Source organism: Homo sapiens, chromosome 5 (genome assembly GCF_000001405.40).
Source record: "Homo sapiens chromosome 5, GRCh38.p14 Primary Assembly".
Taxonomy (NCBI): domain Eukaryota; kingdom Metazoa; phylum Chordata; class Mammalia; order Primates; family Hominidae; genus Homo; species Homo sapiens.
In genome coordinates, this window is record NC_000005.10 from 111,896,249 (window position 1) to 111,909,841 (window position 13,593).

At 34.0% G+C, this 13,593-nt stretch overlaps 1 protein-coding gene across 2 annotated transcripts in view; it reads right to left on the reverse strand.

Moving 5' to 3' along the window:
- The window catches only part of NREP (neuronal regeneration related protein), a 248,131-nt gene that overhangs the window by 167,447 nt on the left and 67,091 nt on the right, over positions 1-13,593 (reverse strand). The window lies entirely within an intron of this gene.

Genomic DNA, 13,593 nt, shown 5'->3' on the forward strand with positions numbered 1-13,593 from the left:
TCTAGAGGTGGGAGGCAAATGAAGAATCAGGGATTATAACGAAGTTTTGGTTTAACAATTGAGTGGATAGTGGTCATTTTAAGATGGGAAGACTAAGAGAAAAACAGATTTTAGAGGAAAAATCAACAATTCTGTTTCAGGTATGTTAAGTTTCATATGCCTGTGAAACAACTAAATGAAGTTGTCTAGCAGGTACTTGGGTACTTGAGTCTAAAGGACTGTGGAGTGGTCAGAGCTCTACATACACATTTTATCATCCCTAGTATACACCATATAAAAACGACTAATATCCAGAAGCCTATGTTCACAAAGGTAATCAACACAAGAGAGGCTACCAACCATTTAAACCGGAGTATCTGTGCATTTTCCAGGGATTAACTTACATATTTCATGCCCTACCTCTTATAACTTCTTTTATCCTCCTTACATTTGATAAAGATCAGCCTCGTTTACTCTCAATTAACAATTAGACCTCGCTGCTTAATAGGTTCCTTTTGTCTACTGAAAAATCTTGAGCAAACACCCCTGTGATCTTTACAAGATCTCCTGAAAATGCAAAATTGAATGTAAATCTATTAGACACTGAGGTGGGGGTAAGAACAGGGAGAAATACTAACAGAAGATATTTGAGTTACAATATGATTTATTATCCTTAGTCCCAGACAGCTCAGGAACCCTCAATTAAATACCATATATTCTCTCAACATTCAAAACAGTTTATCATCATATGTTTCATTTAATATTATTAAATTCCTGATTATACTATTGGTTTTGGAGAACAGGGGTCACTCTATTAGATTCAAACCTGGCTTTAACAGACACCAGCATAGACTACTGTTAATAAACTACAAATTATTACATTTAAATAACACATTGTGATTTTCAAGGCACTTTTCATAATGATACATTTTTATTTTCACCACAATTTTACAACATAGGGAAGGCAGATATTTGGATACCCATTTTTAAATTTAAAAAAATATTGTTCAACCAGATTACACAATTTTCCCAGGGCCCTACAGCTGGTAAATATTCAGAAAATAACTGGAACACAAGTACTTTAAAAACTAATCCAGCACTGAAAGAATAGACAACACTGTGCCAGTGCATTCTACAAGGCAACTCACACTATATGTGATGCCAAATGTTAACGGCTCATTTTACTTTTTCCAGAAAATAATCTGAGCTGGTTCTCAACCCAGGCATATTTCCTATGCTCCCTCTATATAATATACTTTTCCCACACTTAATAAAATTCTTGTGACTGCCAGCTGGGTTAAACTTGTGAGCTTTCCTTCTGCTTTCTTGGCTTGTCTCTGTTCTACTTGATATTATCTTCCTGAGACTTCTTTGATGTCATCCTAACTTTTCCCTGATTATTTCAATCCTACTATGGCTAAAACAGTGCACCAACTATAAAACTGGAATTACATTCTTCTTTTCCATGCTTAATGGGTTCTTCCTAACTTTGTTCTCTATTATTAATAAGTCTCTCTTTTTCAAACCCAAATTTTTCATTTTGTACTAACAAAATTTTTTTACTAATTTTAAAACTTATATATGATATTGTGGAAAATAACATAAAAGTAAAAAGATAAAAATATAAATTACCCATATTCTCACTAATCAAAGATGAGGTAAAATTTGATTGCTTTTTTTGTTTCCTATACTGAATGTTTAATTAATGATTTTGAATTTTTTCTTATTAATAGCAAAAGTATTCAAGTCCATAAATTTTTCTCAAAATACAACTTCAACTACATCTTGTAACCTTGGGAGAGAATGATAGGACATGAATTGAGAGAGGTAACATGTACCTGGATCATTTAGAGCGTTACAAGTGTTAGAACTTTGGCTTTTACCAGATGGAAATAGAGCCACTGGAGAGTTTTGAGCAGAGCAGTGGCGTAATCTAATTTAAAGGCTCAATCTGGCTGTTACGTTGAGAACAGCTATAAAGAGGAAAGTGTAGAAGCAGGAAAATATGGAAGGAGGCGATTGCAGTAATAAAGACAAGAGATAAAGATGAATTGGAGCAGGATGGTAATTCAGAGGTGGTAAAAAAATTAAAAAGACTCTGACTATAATTTAGAGATAGAGACGAGATTTTCTTACGTATTGGCTGAGGGGTGGAAGAGAAAGAGAAGGACTGAATCTCAAAGTTTCTGGCCTAAGTAATTGTTACCAACTGAGACGGGGAAACGTAAATGTACAGCAGGTTGGGAGGAAACATATTTTTGATATGTTGCTATCAAACTATCTAATGATCTCCCAGTCAGCAGGAGTGGCTGCATTAGTTTGGAGTGTAAGAGAGAAGTTTAGACCAGAGACAGGAATTTGGGGATCAGCAAACTTTTGAGAGTGGAACATGATGGCAGAGTAGGACTCTGAAGCAACTGTCTCCCCTCAAAATTACAATTTGAACAACAAAATAATAACTAAAAACTTCCCACATCTTGCAACAGTTATAGACATCCAGATATATGCAGCTCAAGAATTCCTAAACAGATTCAGCCCAAAGAACTCTTCTCCAAGGCATATTATCATCAAACTGTCAAAAGTCAAACACAAAGAGAATTCTGAAAACAGCAAGAGCAAATTGTTAACTCACTTATAATGGAATCCTCATCAGACTAACAGTGGATTTCTCAGCAGAAACCTTGTAGGCTGGGAGAGAATAAGGTGATATATTCAAAGTGCTGCAAGAAAAAAAAAATGTCAGCCAAGAACACTATACCCAGCCAAGCTATTATTCAAAAATGAAGGAAAAATAAAGTCCTAGACAAGGAAAAACTGAGGAAATTCATCATCACTAGACCAGCACAACAAGAAATGCTTAAGGCAGTGCTATATCTGGAAGCAAAGGACAATATATAATATCATAAAAACACACAAAAGTATAAAACTAACTGGTAGAGCAAATATACAAATGAGAAAGAGAAAGGAGTCAAATTTTATTGCTACAAAATAACCACCAACTCATACAAGCAAACAATAAAAGAAGAAGAACAAAACAAAGGATATACAGAACAATCAAGGAGGACTGCTTGTGGCCAGGAATTTGAGACTAGCCTGGGCTACATAGAAGGATCCCATCTCTACAGAACATTTAAAAATTAGTCAGGTGTAATGGTGTTTTCCTGTAGTACTAGCTACTTGGAAGGTTAAGGCAGGACAATCACGTGAGCCTAGGAATTCATGACCGCAGTGAGCTATGGCTGTGCCACTAGAGTCCAGCCTGGGCAACAGCATGAGACCCTGTCTCTAAAAAAAGAAGAAAAAATAAAACTTAAAAAAAGATGAAAAAGAAAACAATTAACAACATAACATGAGCAAGTCCTCATCTGTCAATAACAACATATGTAAATGGTTTAAATTCTCCAATTAAAAGATATAGACTGGTTGAATTGATTTTTTTAAGACCTAACCATATGCTGCCTACAAGAAACTCACTTTAACTCTAAAGACACACATGGACTGAAAGTTTTAAAATGGGAAAAACATATTCCGTGCAAATAGAAACCAAAATATATATGCACCCAACACTAGAGCATGTAGATGAATAAAGCAAACATTATTAGACTGAAGAGAGATTTGCATTCCAATCCAATAATAGCTGGGGACTTCAACATCCCACTTTCAGTATTGGACAGATCATCTATTCAGAAAATCAACAAAGAAACATCAGACTTAATCTGCCAAGAGACATTTACAAAATATTTTATCTAACAGCTGCAGACTACACATTCTTCTCATCAGCACATGGAGCATTCTGTAGGATAGACCATATATTAGGACACAAAACAGGTCTCAATAGATTTTAAAATTTAAAATTATATAAAGTGTCTTGTAAGACCATAATGAAATAAAACTAGAAATTAATAACAAGAGAAACTTTGGAAACTGTACAAATACATGGAAATTAAGCAACATGCTCATGGGTCAAGGAAGAAATTAAAGAGGAAATTTAAAAATATTAAAACAAGAAAAAATTAAAATACAACATATCAAAAACCTATGGGGTACAGCAAAAGCAGTGCTGAGAGAGATGATAGCAATAAATGCCTAAATTAAAAAAGTAGAAAAAATTAAAATAAACAGTCTAAAGATGCACCTCAAATAATTAGGAAAGGCAAACCCAAAATTAGTAGAAGAGAAATAATAAAGATCAAAATAGGCCTGAATGTAATAGAGGCTAAAAATAAATACAAAGGATCAAGAAAATGAAAAGTTTTTTTTTAAAAAAGGATAAGTTGATAAACTGCTAGTTACACTGCCAAGAAAAAAAGAGTAAATGTCCAATAAATAAAATCAGAAACACAAAAGAGGCATTACAACTAATACCACAGAAATACAAAAGATCACCAGGGACTATCATGAACAACTATACACTAACAAACTGAAAAACCTAGAGAAAATTGCTAAATTCCTGGGCATACAAACCACCAACATTAAACCAGGAAGAAAGAGAAATTCTGAACAGACCAATAATGAATAATGAGATGGAAACAGTAATAAAAAAAGTCTCCTAACAAGGAAAGTCCCAGGACCAAATGGCTTTACTGCTGAATTCTACCAAACTTATAAATAACTAACATCAATTCTTCTCAACTATTCCAAAAACATTGAAAAGGAGGGAATTTTTCTTAATTTATTTTATGAGATCAGCATTATCCTGACACCAAAACCAGACTAGGCTACAACAAATAAAGAAAACTGCATGCCAGTATTCCTGATGAACGTAGATGCAACAATCCTCAAGAAAATACTAGCAAACTGCATCCAACAACGTATCAAAAAGACAACAAACCATGATCAAGTGGAATTTAGCCAAGGGATGCAAGAATGGTTCAACATGTGCAAACCAGTAAATGTGACACATACATCATTACAAGATGATTATGAAGTTTTGTCCTTCATTCTACTGATGTAATAATATATCACATTTATTGGTTTGCACATTATAAATGATCATAAAACAGATTTATTCACGAAGGATGTTGAATTTAATTACTTTTCTTAGAAGAAAAAGTAATTGAATTCAACATCCCTTCATGATTAAAGCTCTCAACACATTAGGCATCAAAGGAAGCTGATATATGACAAACTCACAGCTAACATCACACAGAATGAGGAAAAGCTCAAAACCTTTCCTCTAAGAACTGGAACATGACTAGGATGCCCACTTTCAGCACTCTTATTCAACACAGTACTGGAAGTCCTAGACACAGCCAGGCAAGAGGAAAAAATAATTGAAAAAGAGGAAGTCAAATTGTTCCTCTTGGCAGATGACATGATCTTATATATAGAAAAACCTGAAGATTCGACCCCAAAACTCTTAGAACTAGTCAACAAATTCAGTAAAGTTTTACGATGCAAAATCAACACACAAAAATCAGTAGTGTTTCTAGACACTAATAAACAACTAGCTGAAAAAGAAACCCCATTTACTAGAGCTACAAAAAATAAAAATAAAATGCTCAGGAATACACTTAGCCAAGAAAGTGAAAACCTCAAAATTGAAATTATAAAATACTGATGAAAGAAACTGAAGACAAAAACAAATGAAAAGATATCCCATGATCCTGGATCAGAAGAATTAATGTTGTTAAAACGACTGTACTACTCAAAGCAATCTACAGATTCAATGCAATTCCCATCAAAATACCAAAGACATTCCTTATAGAAACAGTAAAAGAATTCTAAAATTCCTATGGAACCACAAAAGACCCCAAATAGTCACAGTAATACTGAGCAGAAAGAACAAATGTGGAGGCACCACACTGTTAGACTTCAAAATATACTACAAAGCTACTGTAACCAAAACAGCATAGTACTGGCATAAAAACAGTCACAGACCAATGGAACATAATAAAGAACCCAGAAATTAATCTATATATTTTCAGCCAACTGATTTTTCAACAAAGACACCAAGAACATACATTGGAGTAAGGACCCTCTCTTAAATAAATGGTGCTGGGAAAACTAGAGTCCATAAACAGAAGATGAAACTAGACCCCTATCTCTCGCCATCCACAAAAATCAACTCGAGATGGATTAAAGATTTAAAAGTAAAAATCAAATTTGAGTGAACATTCCACTCAACATGTGCTGTAATAGTTGAGCCCAGATCAGCTGCAAACAAGATCAGAACTTTCAATGGAAATTTTATGCAAGTAGAATCAAGATTCTGAAGTATTTTTTCAAATAATTGTAACAGGAGATGAAACGTGGTTTTACAGATATGATCCTGAAGACAAACTACAATCAAAGTAACAGCTACCACGAGGTAGAAAGAAGTGGTCCAAAGTTAAAGCAGACTGTTCAAGAGCAAAGGTCATGACAACAGATTTGGGGAATGCTGGAGGCATTTTCCTTGTTGACTTTCTGGAGGAGCAGTGAACGATGATAACATCTTATTACAAGAACGTTTTGAGAAAGTTAGCCAAAGCTTTAGCAGAAAAAATACCCAGGGAAAGCTTCACCAGAGAGTCCTCTTCCACCATGACAATGTTCCTGCTCCTTCTCATCAAACAGAGCAATCTCGTGAGAGTTTCAATGGGAAATTATTAAAGAGTCCTGCTTTGGCTTCTGACTTGTTTTTGTTTCCTAATCTTAAAAAAAATCTGTAAAGGCACCCATTTTTCTTCAGTTAATAATGTAAAAACGACTTCTTTGATATGGTTAAATTCCTAGGACCTTCAGTTCTTCAGGGATAGACTACATGGGTGGTATTATTGCTTACAAAAGTGTCCTGACTTTTATGTTGAGAAGTTTATATTTTATATTTTTATCTTTTAATTCTATTTTCCATGAATTGTCTTGTCTTTTCTCTTTTTTTTTTTTTTTTTTTGAGACAGAGTCTCACTCTGTAACCCAGGCTGGTGTTCAGTGGCACAATCTTGGCTCACTGCAACCTCCACCTCCCGGGTTCAAATGATTCTTGTGCCTCAGCCTCCCAAAGTAGTTGGGACTATAGTTGTATGCTACCATGCCTGACTAATTTTTGTATTTTTAGTAGAGACGGGGTTTCACCGTATTGGTCAGGCTGGTCTTGAGCTACTGGCCTCAAGTGATCTGCCTGCCTTGGCCTCCCAAAGTGCTGGGATTACAGGTGTGAGCCACGGCACCCAGCTCTCCATGAAATTTTTGAAGTTTCATCATATATGATGAGATTAGAAGAAAGAATTAAACCGTTGGTAATTATAAAGTTTAATTTGAATAGAGGAGTCATACTCAAATTAGAACTGTGCTTGCTAATATCTGACTTTGGTAATTACATTTTTTCTACCTAACTGATTTTCATAGTTTCAGCTGGGTATGGTAACCTGTTTTGTGAATATTAAGCCAGCAATTTTCATCATTTATCTCAGAAGTGGTTACATTTTAGGGTGATGGTAATTGTTCCAGAGACACTGAGTCTTTTTTTGATGTTTCTTATGGGAAAAAACAAGGGGCAACATTTTAAATAACATGCTTATCTCTTATTAAATAAGCAGCAACACAGAGAAAAACACTCCCGATGAATGGAGACATTTCTTCTCTAGATTTTCCAGCCAAAATATTGTTCACCAAGCAAAGTTTATTCTGTCTACAAGGTCCAAGTTATTCTAATCTCTAGACCTATGATCTTATCACTGGCTGAAAGCTCACAATTCCTGGTGGTTTTACTTTTTTAGAGTCAAAAGTTTTCGGTAACCTCAATTTAGTCTACCAATTAATGAAAGTAATTTGTCTATACAAATTATTTTTACATAGAACATTAATACTTGAGAAACATCTTAAGAATATTTTTATAATTAATACACTATTTTTGGAGTAATTTTAGGCTTACAGAAAATTGAGCAGCTATTAGAGATAATTCCCATATACTCCCTCTCTCCTCCAACTCAGTTTCTTCTATTATTAATATCTTGCATTCATGTGGTATTTGTTACTATTGATGAACCAATAATGATACATTGTTTTTAACTAAAGTCCATAGTTTAGGGTTCACTTTTGGTTTAACACTGTTTGATGTGTTTTGACAAATGTATAATGTCACATATCTATCATGGTAGTATCATAGCTGTATGATAAATAATTGTGTGTAAATATTTTCTGTAAATACTTAGTATTTAGTTTAACTGGTCAGAAACTGTCAAGTACTTCACCCATTCATCTTTCCTGTCTTCTTCCCAAACCCCTGACAACCACTGATCATTTTACTATCTCTACAGTTTTGCCTTTTCCAGAATGTCATATCATTGGAATTATATAGTATGTAGGCTTTTCAGGCTGTTTTCTCTCACTAAGCAATATTCATTTAAGGTTCCTCCATGTCATTTTGTGGCTTGATAGTTCAATTTTCTTTTTATTGTTGAATCATATTCCATTGTATGTGAAAGAGCCCCAGGAACTTCATCATAAAATGTGGCTCCATGGTATAATGAGTATTTTGAATTAAAGGCCCTTGGAGATCGACAGATGCTAGAAGAGCCTTTCCCTGCTATCTAAATAAAGACAGCAGGAACCCACCAAGGAGAACAATTGTTTTTCCTTCCCTTCTCTGTTATCTCATTATCTATTGCAGAAAACAAGACCAAGAATATAACCACACCTGAACAGACCCTTCACGAGACAGTATCTGTCTCTCAGGCTCATTCAGCTCTCAAAGAGAACCATTTCCAAGTTAACCTCTGTTTCGGGATCCATTTGTCCTCCCTAGTAATCGTTTATTGCTCCCAAAAGAATTACCTGTATTCCCCATATCTCTCTCTCTCTCTCCATTCTGAAATAAGGTTATGTAAGTATCTGAACCCCACTGGGATATCAGGTAATCACTCTGTAAATTCCCTTATGCACACCAATAAATTTGTATGTTATTTCTCCTATATGCCTTTTGTCAGATGATTTTTCAGCAAAATTGCAGAGGGCAAAATTTTCCGTTGACCTCTACACATGGGTGTACCATAGTTTGTTTTCCATTCATTTGGGTAAGTACCTAGGAGGGCAGCTGGTAGATCACGTGGTAAGACTGTGTTTAACATTGTAAGAAACTACCAAACTCTCTTCCAAAGCACCATTTTGCATTCCAACCAGCAAACGAATGAGAGCTCCTCTCACTCCACATCCTTGCAGATATTTGGTGTCATCACCATTTTGGATTTTTTAAATAAGTATTGATTTTTAATTGTGCTAAAATATTGAAGTAGACTTAATAAAACAGTTAAACCAATAACATAAGGTAACATTCTTGTATAAATAGCGGTCCATGGAAGACTGAAGAATAGACCGTGGCTTAAATTATTTCTAATTCCAAATATACAGATCATTGATTACAGCTTGAAAGTACGTTTGCTACTGCATGTAGACAGCAGCATTTTAATTTCACAAGACAGCAAAGTTCAAATCGAAAGAGAACTTTATGATTCAATGTTTTAGTGCTGTTGGTAAAAAAACCAAGTGAAACAAAACACCAAAGCTAAGAGTACTATATGCATCATAGTTAGACTTAAATCAAATATACGCTATTATTAATACATGCAGAGTATTTTTATATATGACTTTTTAAGGCTTTAATACAAATTGATTGGTTTAATAAAATTAAATACATCTGACCCATTCCTGTGTAAATGTATACAAATAAAACATAAATCTCTGAAAAGTAATCTGGAAAAGTTTAAGACATGTCTTACATAGTAATATTTATATTGGTTTTTGAAGTGGTAAAGTTGAGATTACTAATTTATGATAAGAATTAGTAATAACAGTAAAGAATATAATCAAGAAAACAAAGATTAGAGCTCATTTAAAAATTTTTGCTGACCATTTCTTAGTTTTTTTATTCTTCTAAGTATAAAACATTTATGAATTACAGAGTTCATTTGGTAACCCATCATAAGCCTTGTGATACCACTGTGCTAGTGCCTCATAATATAACCATTGTTTTATTTGGCTTTTAATATCTGTTGCACATCTAGAGTTTTTTAATTGGTATCTCTATAGAGGCAGGAATTTTGCAATGTGTTTCTTATTGTATTCTAATACATGTGGTAAAAGATCAATATTTTTATAGATTCACAAAGAAAAAAGATAAATTTTTTTTGGATTTTGTCAGAACTTTATTACGAAATTGATGGCAAGTAGCTTTTTAAGAATTATGGACTATATTCAGCTGCAATTAAGCAAATGGAACACAAAATACAATTTTAAGAATACAGACTGATGGAGTGCTTTATAATGATGTATCCAAATTACTCTATTTTAATGCAAAATTGCTATGCTTTAATGCTAGTGTACAACATTGCTTGAAAATAAACTAATTTTTACCTTAGATAATAAAGCATTTTAGTGATATCACAAATGATATGATCCCCTTTGGCAGAGTTAACTGCTCACTCTACGGGGCTCCCTAAGCTTTTTCCGGGTGCCTTTAGCATATATACAATACTTATTACAGCATTTTGGATTTTAGCTTTTCTAATAGGTGTGTAGTGAACTCACTGCTGTTTTAATTTGCATTTCTCTAAGGATATATGGTTTTTAGCATCTTTCATGTGCTTATTTGGCATCTAAGTATCTTCTTTGGTGAAGTGTCCATATCTCTTGTCCATTTTTTAAATGAAACTTTTTACTTACTATGTGATTTTAATAATTCTTTCTATAGTTTGTTTTTTATTATTTTCTTTCCTTTTACAAAAATATATTTTTTAATTTCTTATAGAGACAGAGTTTCGTGTTGTTGTCCAGACAGGGTCTCCAACTCCTGTCTTCAAGCAATCCTCCTGCCTAGGCCTCCCAAAGTGCTAAGATTATAGGCATGAGCCATCACACCCAGCCTCTCTGTATACTTTGGATTCAAGTTCCTTCTCAGAAAAGTCTTACAAATATTTTCTCCTAGCCTGTGGCTTGTCTTTTCATTCCCTTAACAGTGTTTTTTTTGCCAAGCAGTTTTTTAATTTTATGAAGTCTGGCATCAATTTTTTCTTACATAGATTATGTCTTTGATATTGTATTTAAAAACGTATCTTCAAACCCAATGTCTCCTTGATTTTCTCCTGTTATACTCTGGTACTTTTATAGTTTAATATTTTACTTTGGTCTATGATCCATTTCGTGTTCGTATCTGTGAAATCTGTAAGGACAATGTCTAGATTTATACCTATGCATTGGATGTCCAGTTGTTCCAGCAACATTTTTTGAAAAACTATCCTTTCTCCATTGAATTGCCTTGGCTTCTTTGCCAAAGATCAATTTGCTCTATTTGTTTGGATCCATTTCTGGGCTCTTTTCTGCTCCATTAGCCTACTCGTCTATTCCTTTGCCAATACCATATCATCTTGGTTATTATAACTTTATTGTATATCTTCAATAATAATTGTTAAATGCCCTTAATAATAGCACAAATAATCACTATTACTCTAAACTTTTACTTCTATTTCTTAGCACATACCAATTCTATTGTAAAATTCTGCTGTTCCTAACCCTCAAGACTATATTTGCTCACTTTATCTACCTTTTTTTCACCTAGAAAACTCCTACTTAATAAGACACTTCTTCCAAGAAGTCTTTTAAGTCTGTCCCATGGTGGATGAAGTGTTCCTCTCAAGGGCTTCCATGGAATTCTTTGCTTACTATACCTGTAGGAATTATTACTATTTTTTTTATATCCCTGTTACCAAGATCAGTGCTGGCACTTGGGCATTTAAACATTGGTTGAGAAAATACTAATGAGTATTTGTTTGTATATAAATATAACATAGCTGAAAACTAGGCTAAAGACAACAGTAAGCTAGGAAATTGATTTTGGAAAATGAATGATGACTAGTTGATTAAAAAGCTGGTAAAAATTAGTAAATGACTACTAAGCTTCCATGGAAAACTTCCATCTTCTGTTTGAACCAATATTTTCTTCATTGATTATTAGTGTTATTCATCTATTTATTTAATAGTTTCTTTATAATGCTGGATTCTGCACTAAATGCTAATAGAATAAAAAAATGAGTAAAATATCTGTCCTAAGCCCATCACAAATAATAATTTTTAAGAAATAATTTTAACTTTTATTTTTGATTCAGGGGGTATATGTGTAGGTTTGTTACATAGATATTATGTGATGCTGAGATTTGGGGTATGATTGATCCCATCACGCAGGTAGTAAGCATAATGCTCAATAGTTTTTCAACCCTTGCCCACATCTCTTCCTCCCCACTCTAGGAGTCACCAGTGTCTCTTAGTATCATCTTTATGTCCATGTGTACCCAATATTTAGTTTCCACTTATAAGTGAGAACAAGTGGTATTTGGTTTTCTGTTCCTGCATTAATTTGCTGAGATGGCCCCTAGCTACATCCATGTTGCTGCAAAGCACATAATTTCATTCTTTTTCATGGCTGCATAGTATTTCATGTTGTATACATACCACTTTTTTTTAATCCGATCCTCTGTTGATGGGCACCTTGGTTGACTCCGTGTTTTTGCTATTGTGAGTAACACTACAATAAACATACACGTGAATGTATCTTTTAGGTAGAATGATTCATTTTCCTTTAGATATATACCCACTAACGGAATTGCTAGGTCAAATGGTAGTTCTATTTTAGTTCTTTGAGAAATCTCCATACTGCATTCCCTTTTCTCTGCAGCCTCAACAGCATCCGTTGTTTTTCTAACTTTTTAATAATAGCCATTCTGATTGGTGTGAGTTGGTATCTCACTGTGGTTTTGATTTGCATTTCTCTGATGATTCGTGATGTTGAGCATTTTTCTTATGTCTGCTGGTCACTTGCAGGTCTTCTTTTGAGAAGTGTCTGTACATGTCTTTTGGCCACTTTTTAATGGGGCTTTTTGGTTTTTGCTTGTTGAATTAAGTCCCTTATAGGGTCTGGATATTAGACCTTTCTCTGATGCATAGTTCGCGAATATTTTCTCTCATTCTGTAGGTTGTCTGTTTACTCTGTTGATAGTTTCTTTTGCTGCCATAAGAGATAATTAAGTTGCAAAGTAATAAGTGCCAATTTAGCAATGGGAACAATGCCAGAGATATAAAAAGAAGTCTAAGATGGTGCAAGAAGATGAACTTAGAGCTTAGCATCTTCCCTTAACCAATGGTTTAAGACATGCAGAACAAAACACAATGAGTTAGGTTGCATATTTGGAGTTGGTTTGATTATAAATACTTTAAGCCTTTTACTCTATTTTTATATTAATGATTATTTAATCAAGGGATTTATTAATAGTATATGTTAAAATAAAATGCAATCAGCTTCTATATCTGTTAGTGTATTTAGCAGCTCAAGATATCATTGGGAAATAGGCTGGATGACAAACTTGCTTTCTCCACATGAAGCAGTCCAAGTGTCTTCTAAGTCTTTATGATCTAAAACCACCAAAGAGAGAACAGATACTTGAACTTGGGTTGCAGCAGGAACGATTTTTATGTGAATTTCCATTTATCCTTTCATAATGGCTTGGACATGAAATTTATTCCACCTACATGTCAAAGTTTTCATTTTCTAACACGAAATCCTACCAGAGCCTCAATGCCAAGCTGTGTTCTCTCAGCCTTTTCTATCAACACCAGATAACAATTCATCTGACAGTTTTGTGATGA